This window comes from Homo sapiens, chromosome 6 (genome assembly GCF_000001405.40).
Source record: "Homo sapiens chromosome 6, GRCh38.p14 Primary Assembly".
Taxonomy (NCBI): Eukaryota; Metazoa; Chordata; class Mammalia; order Primates; family Hominidae; genus Homo; species Homo sapiens.
This window is the reverse complement of record NC_000006.12, coordinates 41,201,170-41,218,227: the sequence shown is the minus strand read 5'-3', so window position 1 is coordinate 41,218,227 and position 17,058 is coordinate 41,201,170. Positions and strand designations below refer to the sequence as shown.

The 17,058-nt window shown below is 42.0% G+C and overlaps 1 pseudogene across 1 annotated transcript, besides 3 other annotated features; it reads left to right on the top strand.

The window, feature by feature from the left end:
• Positions 1–280: 280 nt before the first annotated feature.
• TREML3P (triggering receptor expressed on myeloid cells like 3, pseudogene) lies at positions 281–9,674 on the top strand (annotated as a pseudogene). The gene is made up of 5 exons (NR_027256.1): positions 281–575; positions 1,051–1,101; positions 2,409–2,466; positions 8,498–8,629; positions 9,074–9,674. The product of NR_027256.1 is annotated as a triggering receptor expressed on myeloid cells like 3, pseudogene (transcript).
• Positions 2,465–3,664: an enhancer, noted in NCBI's record as "BRD4-independent group 4 enhancer chr6:41182302-41183501 (GRCh37/hg19 assembly coordinates)". NCBI's record gives its function as "activates an origin of replication core promoter dependent on BRD2, P300/CBP, MED14 and CDK7 cofactors, and independent of BRD4, by STARR-seq in HCT116 cells {active_cell/tissue: HCT116}" and the evidence as "EXISTENCE:reporter gene assay evidence [ECO:0000049][PMID:35650434]".
• Positions 9,626–9,735: an enhancer, noted in NCBI's record as "active region_24504". NCBI's record gives its function as "activates an Ori minimal core promoter by ATAC-STARR-seq in GM12878 lymphoblastoid cells {active_cell/tissue: GM12878}" and the evidence as "EXISTENCE:reporter gene assay evidence [ECO:0000049][PMID:35858748]".
• Positions 16,791–16,860: an enhancer, noted in NCBI's record as "active region_24503". NCBI's record gives its function as "activates an Ori minimal core promoter by ATAC-STARR-seq in GM12878 lymphoblastoid cells {active_cell/tissue: GM12878}" and the evidence as "EXISTENCE:reporter gene assay evidence [ECO:0000049][PMID:35858748]".

The following is a 17,058-nucleotide window of genomic DNA, read 5'->3' as shown; positions in this document are numbered from 1 at the left end:
GATCTAGAACCAGAAATACCATTTGACCCAGCAATCCCTTTTACTAGTGTTTTTACAAGTGTTTTTCACAGCTGAACTATGAAGATTGGTGGATTACATTTTATTTTTTGTCATTATTTGGTTTCCTTAAAAAAAAACCTTTTAGTTTCAGGTGTTCATGTGCAGGGTTTTTAGTTAGGTAAATTGTGTGTCATGCATCTCTCCAGAGCTCTGACCTGGGTTTCTTTCTGCAGGTTCCTGGGTAAAGGGCGCTGTGCCTGAAGAACTTCACAAACACTAAGGACAGACCCTCTTCCTGCAATGCCAGTACTCACCCAAGAGAGGGTCCTATCAGCCCAAATCCTGGTGTCAGCAGACATCGCCAAGTCGGTGTACCTTACTTGTCACCAGCTCCAAGCCCCAGACAGCAGTTCAGAAGTCTCATTACACAATCTGGGACAAGCCAAATGCTAGCATCTTCAAAATCACCATGATTCAGCTGAAGGAGGACTCGGGATCCTACTGGTGTGAAATCTACAACACTTCCAAAAACATCATCACTGTTCTCAGAGATGTCAGCCTGGTGGTGTTTGCAGGTGAGCTCTTTTCTTGAGGAAATACCACTGTGCCACCCCCCAGGGACCTGAAGGAAAGTCACTTACCCACTCCCATGCCTCTATCATCCCCCATCCTGCCAGGTCTTCTGCTCTGGTCCGAAGGGAGCAAAGATCCTGTACCCAGACATGGACTCTCACCTCTCCTTCACCCGGCACATCCTGGCCTCAACTGTTGGGAAGATACCCCCAGAGGTCCCTGGACAGAGACACAGTCTCTCTGTCACTCTGCGTCTCTCTTTGTCTTACACAGGCACACCCACAACTCTTCTTTTCACACACACACTAACACACACACGCCAACAACTCTGTCATGCAGATCTTAGGCTCAGGCCACTCCTGGCTTAAGGCATCCTGAGGGTCTGGCTCTGGGCCCCTACCTCCTCTCATATATAGGGTAGACCCTGCTCACTTCTGGGCCCCTGGAGAGTCAGTGTTTGCTGTCTTTTTCCTTTAGCCCCAACCACGTCTCCTACGTGGACCCTCACCTGGCTCCCAACAAACACAGGTAGGTTGGAGGCCTCGGTGGGGGGAGATTAGAGGAGTCACCAGGCAGCTTGGGAGCCTCAGATTCAGGGAAGGGGAAACCAGGGAGGCCTGCCTCTGAGGACTGATCTCTTGGGGCCTGGGCTTGTGGGAAGCTACCTTCAGGGTCCGCTGTCTCCTAGGGAGAGAAACATGCACTATCTGATGTGATCAGAAGATTGCCATGTTCTCACGAATATGGGCAGCTGTCCCCAGAGGGGAGTCCATATGGAACACCTTGCACATGTGTGTCCCAGCCCTCCTGTCCCTGGCCTCCCGCCAGCATGGAGAGGACAGTGCCAGACTTAACTTTAGCTGGGTATGGAGATCTCAGGCCTCAGTTCAGGGATTTTAACACTGGGAGGGAGGTCTTGGGAAGGGACGGCCTGATTAGCTCCTGAACCCTGAAATCAGGTCCAGGGCACCCAAGGATCCTTCTCTGGTGGGTTGGGGCATAGGTTACAGCCGTGGAGCCCCCAGGCCATGACTCAAAGTTTGTTAGAGAGGAAAGGGGAAGAGGATGCAGGTTGTTAATTGTGGAGGAACCATGGAAAAGACAGTTCAACATGGATTTCTGCAATGAAACAAAATGGAACCCAGAAAATGTGGAAACCTTAGACCGTGTTGGTGTGTTGAAGGGTGAGTGTGAATAGAGTGACTGCACCCTGGGGCAGATGGTGGCTGGAGATGTCAGCCAGAGAAAGGTGAGAGGAATACTCTTAAATTCTGCTCCTATCCTTGTAGTCATGAGTTTTGAGGCCATGACGGCCTCCCCTTAACTGGAGGAATAGGCTGCAATAGACTAGGTCACAGGTGCCCTGGGGGACCATGGAGCACAGCAAAAGCCATGAGCTATTGATGGAAATAGACAACTAACTGCCAGAGCATTTGCTCCGTAGCCCTCTCCCCCTGCAAACTCCAGCGCGGGTGGATTACAAACAGACTATCTCTCAGGGAGTTTGAAGGTAAAACCCTAACCAGAGAACAAGCACGCAGTTAATGGGGGTCCCTGGGGTCTTGTGCTCTAGGGCAGTGGTCCCCAAGCCTGTTAGAGACTGAGCCGCAGAGCAGGAGGTGAGTGGTGAGCCAGTGAAGTTCATCTGAATTACAGCCTCTTTTCATAGCTTGCTTTACCGCCTGAGCTCCGCCTCCTGTCAAATCAGTGGCAGCATTAGATTCTCATAGTAGCATGACCCCTGTTGTGAACTGTGCATGCAAGGGTTGTAGGTTGCACGCTCCTTATGAAAATTGAATGGCTAATGATCTGTCACTATCTCCCATCACTCCCAGATGGGGCCATCCAGTTGCAGGAAAACAAGCTCAGGGATTCCACAGATTCTGCATTATGGTGAGTTGTATAATTATTTCATTATACATTACAATGCAATAATAATAGAAAGAAAGTGCACTACAAATATAATGTGCTTCAATCATCCTGAAACCACCCCTCACATTCTGGTCAGTGGAAAAATTGTCTTCCACAAAACAGGTCCCAGGTGCCAAAAAGGTTGGGGACTGCTGCTCTAGGGCTTTTCCCCTCCACTTTTAACCCTCAACAGGCAGAGGATTTAGCCTCTGTTCTTCCCCATTACCAGATTCATATCTAATATGCCTAGGCGAATCTGAATTCACAAGCCAAAATACCTAGGCTTCTTGGTAGAAGCACTGCCTTAGAAGAATGACAACACAGCCAACAATAGAAACTTGTGAAGCAGAACTATGGGAACTTCCCATTCCCCAGGAACTGTAAGTACCTGTGATCAGTCTGGCTAAAGGGTTGAGGGGAGACATGAACTATGTGGATTGTTAAATATAGTGAACCCCAAGTTTCTCTTCTAGGAATCAGTATGTCAGTATATTCAGCTCTCTTATTCTTTGATTCTCCATTTTAAAGTTTAACTTCCTGGTTCTCTTTGGCCCCTTGCTTCTAGTTTCAGTAAACAACTTTCCTGCCAGTCCTAATCAATAGTTCACATCTGTTCCGCTGGTCACCTGCTCCATCCTGACTCATCCTGGTCACTTGCTTTGACTTGAGTCACCTCTGGTCACCTGCTCCATCCTGACTCATCCTGTTCACCTGCTCTGACCTAAGTCACCTTTAGTTACCTGTTCCTAACCGTCCTTCCTGCTAAACTACTCACCCCACCACTCTGGCTCATACCCCTGCCCTCTCCATAGCCAATCGGTATTAGCTTAGGCTGTGCGGTCCAACCCTAGCCACTAGGGGAATGACACAGCAGTAGGGGCTACCACCATCAGGAATAAGAACTGCTGCCCCTCCCCTGTCCAGATGTGCTCTCGCTGTTGTTTCATCTGTGAGGAGTACCCTTTCTGCAGCCGTTGTTTCATCTGTGAGAAGCACCCTTTCTGCAGAAAGTAAAAATTGCCTGGCTGAGAAAATTAAATTTATGTTCGAAGCTTTTCTTGCAGCACTGGGGAACAAGCATTTTGCATTTCTAACATGGATCATAAGGAAGATCCATCGAAAAAAAGAGCCAAATCGCAATCATAGTTGTGAAAAATATTATAGACCCATAATGTATGTGATGAAGGATGGCTGTGGCTGGACAGTGAGCAGGAAGAGGAGTGAGGAATTCTCATGGAAGGTCCTGGAAAGAACTGGAGATTTAAAAATCAAAGACAAGTTAGGAGACATGAAGGAGAAAACTAGATGTACTAATATATCGGTATCAAGAACCCCTGTGGGAGATAAAGGATGAAAGAAAGAAACATTTGAAGAAAGAATCTAAGGAAACTTTTCAAAACTATAGAAGAAGAAAAGACCTCACATTGAAAAGATTCATAAATTGCCAAAGAGGGGAAAACAGCACACACACAAAAAACACCAGTAGACCCATTAAGTAAAAGGGAAGCACATCAAAAACAGAGGGAAAAGTCTGAAGGCTTTCAGATCACCTACAAGGCAACAAGATTAGAATTCCCTCTGAGTTCTTAAGAGGAACACTAGAGGTAAGAAGACAATTGAGTAATATTTCTAAAGTACTAAAGAAAAACTTTGTATATAGTGTTTTGTATTCAGCCAAATTGTCACTCCAATGTGAAATCATAAAACCTCTGGATTCTCAAGGCCTCAGAAGGTTTGCCACATGCAAACATCCCCACTGAAAACACTCCCAGAGAAAGGAAGCCAGGATGAAAAATAAACCCTGGGGATGCTGCAAGAGGTGAGGGAGTAAGTGTGCCCAGCATCTTGGGAATGTTTATTTTTATATTTTTTGATTCATATAAAATGCAGGTAGGAGCTAAATGAAGAATAAGAGAAAATACTTTCATGATCATTGAAAAATAACATTCTAGACCAGTGATCCCCAACCTTTATGGCACCAGGGACTGGTTTTGTGGAAATCAAGTTATCTGTGACTAAGACAGGGGGATGATTTCAGGATGATTCAAGTGCATTATTGTTATTGTGCACTTTACTTCTATTATTACTACATTGTAATATATAATAAAGTAATTATACAACTCATCATAATGTAGAATCTGTGGGAGACCTGAGCTTGTTTTCCTACAACTAGACAGTCCCATCTGGGGGTGATGGGAGACAGTGACAGATCATCAGGTGTTTGATTTTCATAAGGAGCATGCAAACTAGATCCCTGGTATGCGCAGTTCACAATAGGGTTTGTGTTACTATGAGAATCTAATGTCGCCACTGCTCTGACAGAAGGTGGAGATGAGGAGGTGATGCAAGTGATGGGGAGAAGCTGTAAATACAGATGAAGTTTCTTTCACTTGCCCACCACTCAGCTCCTGCTGTGTGGCCCTATTCCTAACAGGCTAGGAACTGGTACGGTCTGTAGCTCAGGGGTTGGGGACCCTTGTTCTAGACTATATCAACACGGGGTGAAAAGGAGACACTAGAGGCTCATGAAAGGATGGTTGGGTACTTGTTTCATGAGACAAGCTCAATGTAGCAATTGTACTAAATCAATGTAGATATGAGTCTTCAGGTTACATCAAGAGAAAGTATATCCTTTCATCTAGCAAAATGAAACTCTAGCCAAAGGAAAGTTAGATATGAATTAAAAAAATAAAGCACAGTAAATGGAAAAATAAAATAAAATGGTAGAGCTAAGTCCTAACATAAATGCAATTCCAATAAATTTAAGTGGATTAAATTCACAAAATAAGGACAGACACACTCTGAGTTTTAAAAATTCCAATGTTATATTACCTATAAGAGATAGATACACTTACAAAAACATCTTAAAAAGTTCAAAAAGTTAGAAAACTATATTTGACTATTAGGAAACAAAATGAACTGTTCTGGCACTCTTAATATTGAACAAAATAGAATTTAAGGTAAAATATCATGTCCATAAATTTGTCTATAAAATAGACAAAGATACATTGTCTATACTGATGAAAGATGAGCTTGAATGTGAAAATAGAGCCATCATAAGCATGTCTGCCTAAATTTTGGCCATGAAATATATGAAACAACACTATCAGAAATGCAAGGAGAAGTAAATATTAGCTATTGTAGTTGGAGGCTCACATACCTCTCAGAGGAACAAAGACCAGTCAGACCAAAACCAAATAAAGGGATCTAAGTTCTAAGCCAAATAACTAACAAATTCCAGGTACTATGCCATCATATAATATTTATAAATGTGTTATATATATTATGAGATATGTATAAGAATATAGAATGAATATGTAATAAATTATACTTTTAAATTAATATTTTCAAATATATAAATATGTAGTTTCAGACTGAAACTGTTCTAAACTATATAAATGTATTATGTATGTTTTATAAAATACAGTACTCATAATATGTATTATATGAACCGTGTATAAGTAGACCTACCTATGTTTATAACCCTCTACATAATTAAAAACAGATAGTATACATTCTTTCAAATAAAAGGAATGTATTTAAAAAAGGACACCTTGTATGAGGACATATAAGAAGCATGAAGAAATTCCAAAGAATCAGTATGACACAGAATATATTCTCCAAACCCAATGCAATGACATTAAGAATGCATAAGAGAAGTAAAGATAAAATAGCACTTTTCAAACTAATTATTAATACATTCATATGTGAATCATTAAGTATGTAATAAAATATATTTTGATAATATGACCACTACATATCAAAAAGTATGGGGCATAGTTAATATTGGAGAGTAATTAGTAGCTTTGAATATATTTGTTGGAAAACATGAAAGCTTTCAAATTAATGAGCTAAGGAAGCATCTTAAGAAGATGGAACGTGAGCATCAGGGCAAGCCCAAAGAATCATAAAGGAGGGAAAGAATCATGGTAAGCGCTGAAATAAATTGAATGATTGAAAATGAAGATCAAGGTAAGTCATAATTCATTCTTTGAAAGTTTAAAAAGATAGCCATATTCTTGTCAAGACAAATGAAGATAAAAGAAGATGATAACCACAAATTGAAGAAAAAGAAGAAAATAACCATGCACTCTTTCTATAGAGATTTTAAAATAAATCCTGAACAAAATCTTGTTGTTTTAAACCTTAGAAGTGCACAAATTCCTTAAAAAAATATGAACTGAGAAGATTAACACAAGGAGAAACAGATTTCAATAGATAAATAAATAGAAAAACTGAAATGGTAGATAAGCCCCACCCTCACAGAAAATTCAAGACTCACGTGGTTTTGCCAGTAACTCAATCTTTTAAGAAACATTTGATTTATATTTCATACAAGATGTTGCAGACAATAGAAAAGAAGCAAGAACAGCCCAGGTTATTTGAAGGGGCTAGTGTCATCAAAATCACAAAACCAGTTACAGGGGTTATAAGAAAACTAAATTATAGGTTTATTTCTCTGATGCCCGTGGAGTCAATTCCCAAATTACCATTAGCTAACTGAATTCAAGAGTGCATCAAAAAGAAGACTGTATTATGATTGAGTAGAATTTTATCACAAAACATAAAGGATTGTTCAACTTCAGAAAAAATCTATTAATATAAGTGAACCGAATTCATAAACTAGGGAAAAAAGTCAACTGCTGCACAAAAAGCATTTGGGGACCTTGAGCACATTTATATTATATGAAAAAGCTCTTAAAAATGGAAATAAGAACAGATAACTTGGTAAAGATTGTACACCAATATTACAGTAAACATTATTTAGTGGAGAAAGCATAAACTCAAATTCAGGATTTTTGCAGCTACCATTAATGTCTTCTATAATATTAGAGGTTCTGACCAATGCTTGAAGGAAAGGAAAACAAGTTACAAGAAAGAAGATTAGACAAGAAGAGAAAAAACTGTCATGACTTGCAGATGATGGGATCATCTATCCAGAAAAAGAATGAGAAACAACAAACTATTAAATCTCATAAGAGAATTTAGCAAGGCTGCCAGATACAAAATCAACCTACATACGCCACAAGTAGATCTCTATGAAAAATAAACATTTAGAAAAATAAGATAGTTTTCATTATAGTGACAAAATCATTAAGTTTCTAGAAAGAATTAATTTAAGCAAGACCTATTTGGAGAAAACTACAAAATGCTAAAAAATGACAGGTGATCTGAATAAAGAGAAATAATCCATGATTTTGGAAGAGGCAATAACATTGTAAAGATGTCAATTTCCCCCAAATTAAAAAGTCTTTAAATGTAATCCCAAACACAACTTCAGTTTACTTTTGTAAAGAACTTGAAAAGTTTACTCTAAAATTATATGAAAAAAAGATGATGCATGACTAGCTAAATCAACCATGAAAAAGTGAAAATAAAAAGAAGTCACTGGCTTTACCAAATATTAAGTAATACTGAAGCAGGAAGCTACTGAGGCCACAAGGGAAAAGCAGATTTGCTGGGAAAGGGTAGTAGTCCCAGAATCAGAGATAGGCAGGCCAGGAGTAGGCGCCACACAGAGGGGACCTGGGAGGACCGCTGGCACCAGCAGACAGGAGGTCTAGGTCTGTGCTCTGTCACTGCTTCTAAGGGTCTAGTCAGGTCCTGTGCAGTGTCTGGGCCTCATTCCTTCAGGTGTGATATCTTGGCCGGTCTTAAAGATGCCCTTTGCTCTGATTCCTAAGAGGCTCCTGATAGTCCTGTCCTACCTGACCTAGTTAGGGAGAGTTCCTACTGCCCCGGCTCTATCCCTCCCCTTCCCTGAACTCCAATCCCTTGTTCTTCCCCTGGCCAGCTTTTTCCTCCATTCAAGACTTTGAAGTTCCTTCTGACTAGGTCTCCTCTCAGTCCCAGAGACCTCTGTGGCTCCTGCCCCATACCCCTGTGTCATAGTCAGTTCAGGGCGGGCCTCTATACAAACATCTCCAGCCACAAGGGGCCTGGCTAAGGGACACAGCAGCAGCAGGTGACATCCTGGCCCAAGTCCATCCTCCTTTCTCCTTCCTCACTGCAGGAAATCAAGTGCCCCCATCTGCCTTGGCTCAGCTGGCCCCAAACTCCTGGTCTCTGTGTTGTGTGGACTCCTCCTGGCCAAGGGCCTGATGCTGTGAGTCCTGTTTGTGTTCCTGACCTGCAGGTGCCACAGGTGAGTGGGGCCTGGGTTTGGCCTGGGGGGCAATGGAGCTGGGGCCAGACTCTGTTCCTAGAAAGATGGCTAGGAAAAAGAAGCCAGATCACAGAGGCAGGAAAAATGACAGCTGAGTCCAATTTAAACATGTGTTTCCTTGCAATCTCTGCCTTCCTGCAGACACAAACCTTAGAAAAAGACAGAGGCTTTCTGGGAGTCCCATTCCAGGACTCTGCCTCTGTCTTTGTCCTGAGAGGAACAAGGCCAGGAGGACAAAGCTGAGAGTGCCTGGGTAGAAGGTTTAGGAGACAGGAAGGGGCAGGGAAGGAAGCAGGTGACAGGGAGAAGGGAGGGAAAGAGGAGGAACAGGTAACAGGCACAGGGTGAGACAAAGAGGCAGAAAAGAGGGTCAGGGAAAGTATCACTTCCATTCATGACGTTCCTTCTCTTGCCACATTTCAGGACAGCAGTGATGGAGGTTTCTGATTGTATCAGCCCAGCCTTGCCCCAGGACCCTTGGGTGCATGAGTCACAGCATGGATCCAGGATGAATCCCAGTTCTTCCCCTGCCCAGCTATTGGGAGCTGCCCTAAGCGTTGCCCCCCATTTGTCTGTGAGGAAAGGCCAGCACTAAGCCTATTGGAGAGAACTTTCAGCCCCTGATCTCCCTGGTGGTGACCCCTCACCCCTGCACTGACCCCTCTTAGATCTACTTCCCCTGCCCTGACTTTCGCCATTGGAAAGACCTGGGGTGGGGGTTTCTGCATCCGGGTCAACGCTCAGCTCAGCATCTTCAGCTGTGCCCGGGCTCCTCTCCAGCACTCCGTGGTTCTCTCAGCCCCACCTCAGCAGGTCTCCAGGATGCCTCACATTTTCCCTGTTTGTTAGTGGTCTACCCGAGAGTCCTATCAATTTCCTCTTGTGCTTGATTAAATTCAACCTCTGAACTGAAATGTGTCAGAGGCAACTAAGCAAGAAAGCAGATGTATCCCCTCACCCTCCTCCCCTCCCACCCTAAATGAGAAAGAAATGACTTAAAAATAAATAATAAAATTGAAACTAAGAAAGGCTGTAATCAGCAGACTGGAAACTGAGGAAGTCCTAGAAGTAAAAGAAAAAATCAGATGCCTTAAATGACAAGAGCAGTGGATTCAGCAGCCTAAAACAGGACCCAGAACATTCAATGGAATCTCATCATCAGGGGTCAAAATTCTGTTTGTTTAACGTGTGAGGAGATTCATAGCCTAAAAGAGAAAATCAAGTTGAACTAACAATATTTGATGGTGGGTGAAAGATAAATGTTTTGGGGAACAGAAGAGGAGCACACATCTGTGAAGCAAGAAAAGGCACAGTCATTTTCCAACCAGGTAACATCTAGCGAGACTGGGATTGACTACTCAAAATGGGGGTCCACCATGAACAACCAATTTGGGGTACCACTGCATAGCAGCTGAATGCCAGCCCTGAAAAAGGCCACCATAAAGAAAGTACCATTTTCTGGCCGGCTGCAGTGGTTCATGCCTGTAATCCCAGCACTTTGGGAGGCCACGGTGGGTGGATCACCTGAGGTCGGGATTTCGAGACCAGCCAGACCAACATGGAGAAACCCCATCTGTACTAAAAATACAAAATTAGCTGGGCGTGCTGGCACATGCCTGTAATCCCAGCTACTTGGGAGGCTGAGGCAGGAGAATCGCTTGAACCTGGGAGGCAGAGGTTGTGGTGAGCTGAGATCACGCCATTGCACTCCAGCATGGGCAAAAAGAGCAAAACTCCGTCTCCAAAAAAAAAAAAAAAAAAAAGAGAGAGAGAGAGAGTACCATTTTCTTTTGCTCTTTCTGGGGAGGGGCATTGATATGGTTTGGTTGTGTCCCCACCCAAGTCTCATCTTGAATTGTAGCTCTCATAATCCCCATGTGTTGGGAGGGACCTGGTGGGAAGTAATTGAATCATGGAGGCAAGTTTTCCCTTCCTTTTCTCCTGATAATGATTAAGTCTCATAAGATCTGATGGTTTTATAAAGGCCAGTTCCCCTGTACATGCTCTCTGCCACCATGTAAGATGTGCCTTTGCTCCTTCTTCACCTTCTGCCATGATTGTGAGGCCTACCTAGCTATGTGGAACTGTGAGTCCATCAAACCTCTTTTTCTTTATAAATTACCCAGCATCAGGTATTTCTTCATAGCAGTATGAAAAGGGACTAATATAGGCATCGAACAGAAGTCTCTTCATGTATATCTCAGCTCCTTCCACATGACCATCACCTATCTGTGAGAGGCACAACTTTTGCTTTCTTTATTTTTTTAATCCTCATTCCCTATTTCCACTTGCCTTCCCCTCCAAGGCAACCACTCTAATGCATGTGATATGTAACCTTAAATTTGAATATATTCTTGTAAAGCCTGCAGCTTTTTTTTCTGTGACTGTATTTTAACTTACATATAAGAAATTGTGATAGACATTTTTCATATATTCGTTTTGCTCCTTCCCGGGTACATATACAGAGCCCACTTCTTTTCAGTGCTTATTCCATTGTGTACATATCCCACAGTGTATCATTCTGAACCCAGGGTGCATGTGCTGTTTTGCCTCCACTTCTTCATATTGCAAACAATGCTGTGAGGAATATTGTCCATCATGTTCTCTGGTAGAATCAGGTGAGATTTCCTTTAGGACTTATACCCAGGTGGCATCAGCTGAGTTTTACGATCTCAGATGTCTAAGTAATGCTGTCAGCTTGTGTTGCCCGAAACACGAATCTAGACACTAGAGATTATTTTCTGTGAGTCTATGTGAAGTACACAGCACAACCTATGGAATAGTATTGCCAATAAAAAAAAATGGAAGGCAAGAGTAAATGTAGCTGAGTGATGCTACATGGGGGCTAGAAGTATGATTATCTTTTTAAAAAAATTTTTTTCGAGTCTGAGTTTTGCTCTTGTTACCCAGGCTGGAGAGCAGTGGTGCGATCGTGGCTCATTGCAACCTCCGCCTCCCAGGTTCAAGTGATTCTCCTGCTTCAGCCTCTGGAGTACCTGGGATTACAGGCACCCACGACCACGCCCAGCTAACCTTTTGTATTTTTAGTAGAGATGGGGTTTCATCATGTTGGTCAGGCTGGTCTCAAACTCCTGACCTCAGGTGATCCACCTGCCTCAGCCTCCCAAAGTGCAGGGATTACAGGCATGAGCCACCGTGCCCAGCCGATTATCTCTTTTTTGTGAGATACTTTTGTGCATGCTTGGGAATTTTCATAATTAAAATGATACCTAAAAATAAACAGTTGTGTGTCGAAGCCACTGCTGTTTGGTTTTCAGTCATATGTGGCTGAACCCAATCTTTTCTCGATTTACTGAACTTATGCAACTGCAGCAGATTGGGACGTGTTCACTTACAGTATGGAAATACTGAGCTTCACTTAAAGAACATGGGTAGTGGGATAAAAGTGGACTAAACAAAAATAGGTCTTCCTCAATCAGATGCTAAGAGCTAGCATTTAGTTATAACTTTTAAATATTTTATCTTAACATCCTTGGCCTCAAAATTGTCGTAATTCCCTTAACCACAATTTTCAAGTGGGTGGCAAATTTTATGTCATAAGTTAACATGTAAAAGACATATACTTCTTCAAAATTTTGAACATATTTCATTGTTTTCTTACCTTCCCAGTGTTGCTATGGAAATGTCTGATAACAGTCTGATGGTTATTCATCTTTACTGACCTATTTTATCTCTGGAACATTTTTATAATTTTCTCTTTGAATTTTTATTATAGTATGCTTAATATGGGCTATTTAAGTATCCATTCTATTTGGAACTCTCTGAATACATTCAATTTGATGTCTTAGATATTTGTCTAATTCTGAAAAATCCTCGGTACCATTTTTTCAAGTATTAATAGTTCTTCTGCTCCATTTACTCTTTTTTCTTCTTCTGGGAACAGAATGACAATAGAATATGTGGGAACTAAAAACGACAATAACCAAAATTAAAAGCTGACTACGTGGACTCCGTAGGAGAGTGGAGATGACAGAGGATGTAATTAGTTAACTGGAAGGCAGACTGAGAAAATTTACTCAGTCTGATCAGAGAGAAAACAGACTGAAAATAAATGACCAGAACGTCAGCTATCTGCGGGACATTAACATAAGAGCTAACCTTTGCATCATCAGAGTCCCAGAAGGAAAGGAGAAAAAATGTGAGACTGAAAATGTATTCAAAGAAACGTCTAAAGTAATCAAATCTGCCCAAAGACCTAAAGTTACAAATACAAGAATCTGATTTTATCCCAAATATAATAAGCCCAAAGAAATACACACCAAGACACAGCATAGATAGCCTTCTGAGAAGTAAAGACAAAGAAAATATCGTAAAAATGGCCAGAGAGAAATAATTATCTATAAAGGAATACCAATTCTAATTGTAGTGAATTTCTTATCTGAAACAATTGAAGCCAGAAAAATGTGGCACAACATTGTTCAAATGCTGTAAAAGACAAACAACACAATTGAATAAATATTTTTCCAAGGGTATACAAATGAGCAAATTGTGCATGCTCAAGATGAAGATGCTCAATATCATTAGTCATTAGGTAACTACAATTCAAAACTTAAGTACATTCACTGGATGGCTGTAAACAGAAAGCCAATACAAGTATTGGAGAGATTGTAGAGAAATGAGAACTCATACATTGCTGGAGAGGGTGTAAAATTTGCAGCCACTTTGGAAAACTATTGGTAGTTCCTGAAAATGTTAAACATAGAGTTGCCATATGACCCAGTAGTTCTACTATTGGTTATGTACTCAAGAGAAATGAAAACGTATGTCCACACAAAAACTTGTACATGAATAGTCATAGTAACACTGCTTATAATAGTTGAACAGTGGAAACAAATAAAATATTTGTCAACTGATAAATGGTAAACATATATATCCATTCAGTGGAATATTATTCAGCCTTTAAAAGGAATGATGTATTAATACAACGTATAGCACAAGTACAGCTACAACATGGACAAACCTGGAAAACATGCCAAATGAAAGAATCCAGTCACAAGGAACACATATTGTTCAATTATGTTTTTATGACATATCCAGAATTGATAAAGGCATTTTTGATTGAAGATATTTTTGTCTAGAAAGACAAAAATATTAGTGGTTGCCTGGGACTGTAGGAATGGGGACTGTGGTAAGCTGATAAATGGTCTCTTAAAAGATATCTGTGTCCTAATCCCTGGAACCTGTGATTGTTACCCTTATATGGCAAAAAACAAAAAAAAAATGATCTTTGCTGATATGAGTGAGTTAAACATCTTGAGATGGTGAGATTATCCTGGATTACGTAGATGGGAACTAAATGCAATCACATGTATCCTTATGTAAGAGAGTCAGAGTGGGATTTGAACACAAAGAGGAGAAAGTGATGGGAAGATGGAGCAGAGGGAGACTGAAGATGCTGGCCTTGAAGATTGGAGTAAAACAGCCCCAAACCAAAGAATGCTGGCAGCTACCTGAAGCTGGAAAGGCAAGGAACAAATTTTTCCCTAGTGTCTCTGGAGAGACTGCAGCCCTGTCGACATCTTCATCTCAATACAGTGTGAACTGACTTCAGACTTCTGCCTTCAGAATGGCGAGACAATAACTTAATACTGTTTTAAGCCACCAAGTCTGCAGTAAACGGATCCAGGGAGTGCCTGCTAACGGGCATGGGGTTTCTTTGGGTGGGGAAATCCTGCAAAATTGGTGTTAGTTGTACAACTCAGTGAATATATTGAAAACCACTGAATTGTATGCTTTAGATGGGTCAGTTTTATATTATGTGAATTATAGCTCACAGAATTGTTGAAAAAAGTCATTGTGACCTTGGGTTAAGCAAAGATTTATTAGATATGACATAAAAATTGATTCATAAAAATTATATATTGGACTTCACCAGAATAAATCAACATAAAGTGCTTCACTTTTCCATTCTGGAAAGAGAGAAATGACAGGAAAAAACCCCACCAGATCAGTGTTTGTCTGGGACTGAAGGGATGACTAACAAGGAGCAGAGGAAAGCTTTTCGGGATGATGGCACTCTTCTCTGTCTCCATTACGGCATTGGATACAAGTCTCTAGAACTCCCAGAACTCGTCACTGAAAAGGGTGAATAGTACTGTATGTAAATTAGGCCTTAATTTTTAAATGGGAAAAATAAATATAAAGACAAAATACACTGCTGTATTAAATCAAATGATAGATGTAAAAGTCTAATGTATACGTATTTTTAATGATTTTGACCAATGCTTCCAAATTTCTCTTAAGAAAGATTGAATCCAGTGCATACTTCCTCGATCAGCGAATGAATGTTTGATTCTTTCTACCCTCATCAGCACAGTGATCCCAAGGGTCACACTTTAGACGATGATTGGCTCAGTGCTGGGCGCACTGTATCAGTTTCATAGAATCATGGATTCCAAGCGCATAAAGTCCCCACAAGAGATAAATCCCCCACTCCTGAAGCAACTTACTGTTCTGATGGGGGAAGGGATGGAGGAACTTACTGTGTGTGCTGGGGAGGGGAGATGGCCCCTGAACTCAGGGAGCTCAGGAAGTTCTGAGGACTGGGTGAGAAACATTGAAAAAGGAAGGGTGAATAAGGAAAACAAAACACGTCTGTGAGCTGAGAGGTCTCAAGTGACAATCGTGTCTCATTCCTACGCCCCCAGTGCCTACCTAGCCCCATGCATAGCAATGAGGTTGTGGGAATGAACAAATGAATGAATGAATTAATGAGTGAGTGAATGAGTTGAGAGACTACAAAAGCTTAGGGTCAGCCGAGATAGACTTCTTTGCTTGGAGCTTGGGGCTTCAAGGTCAATTTAAGATTGTGGCCATGCAAGCTTGAGGACTTTTTGCTCTGAGTCCTGTTAAAATTAATGAAAATGGAGACCAGGCCTGAAGAGTCCCTGAGCAAAAATTAAAAAAACAGTTAGGCCTCATAAGTGACCTCAACTTTGCTTGATTTGCAAATATCAGTGAAACTTAACACGAGCTATTTCTTGTAAATGTGTATATTAAGGAAAAATAGAACTTAAGCTCAACCAATCAAAAGAAACTTATATAATTAACTAGGGTCTTTCCAACAGGATAGGCCAAATAAGGGAACTATATAACTATAACTAATTAAATATTTTCTTCAGTTTACTTGTCCTGTAGGAGTCTTCCCCTTGCATTCCCCCAGTGGAGCTCCTCAACCTCTTCTGTTTGGAGCTGCCTGATTCATGAATTGTTGTTTGCTGAAATAATCTGTTTAAAATTTTATTGTGCCTCAGTTTACCTTTTGACAGTCCCATCTAAGGAGTAGAAACATGGCACTAGTGAGTAGGGGGAGCATACATAATCACGGGAGTCCAGCTGGGTCCCCACACACTGAAGGAGCAGATGACACAGGTACCGGACATCAAAAATTGATGCTTCTGATTCTAGGCCTTGGGGTAAGTGAAGGGTGTGGTCTTGGGCCTAGTGCTGGGTCATTTCCACTGGAGCTGGTGGCTGTACAGGCGAGATAGCATTGAGCAGGAGGAAGTGGAGGGCACTTGCCTGCGTGCTGACGTAGGCTGGAGGCAGGGGAGGAAGGGGGTCTTGAGATGAGGTGGGTGAGGGGAAGTACTGCGGAGGCTGTAGGAAGCCTGCACGAGGGACTAGGAGTCTAGAGGGAGCTGATGGTGAGTAGAGTCGACAGGAGGAGAGGCAGGGAGAGGGACAGAGAGAGGAGACGTATGGATAGGGAAAAGGAGAGGCTGCTGGGGTGTGTGTGAGACTGTGTGCATGGGCGTGTGTGTGTGTGTGTGAAAGTGAATAAAAGACAAAGTGAGACTGTGAGTGTGAGTGCATGTGCATGCACACCTGTGTGTGAGAGTACAGGAACCCCTCCCTCAACCCAAAATTTATGCCCTGAGTCTTAACAATTTGCATTTTTCCCGCTTGACAAAAGTAAGATTTCAAGTGAGCCTGTAAGAGGTTATTTGCAACAGTGAACACAAGTGACTGTTCTGAGCAGCCAGGAGCCTGGGAGAGAGAGAGAGGAAGGAACAGAAAGAATCTGCAATGAATGAATGAATGAGAGTTTATAAGAACTTCCCTGTGAATGTATATATGTAAGAAACTAGGGTCTGAGATGCTCCATCTCAGCCTAAGAGCCCGCACCCCTGGGTCTCTGAGCCCAGAAGATTCCAGGAAGGTCTATACCTGACGTTCCAGAAGCCTCACCCCAGCCCCCTTGCTGGATCCTAGGGACCAGTTTCTGGGGGAGGTTGGGGAGGGCGGGGAGCCCTCTGACTGTGAGTCCTCCCGGCTTGGGGCCCCAGACTGGGTGGAGCAGCCACACCTGCCTGAAGTTCCGAGGAAAAGGGCGGAAACAGCTGCCAGCACCGCCCTCATAATAGGCTCAATGAATCCCTGCGGTT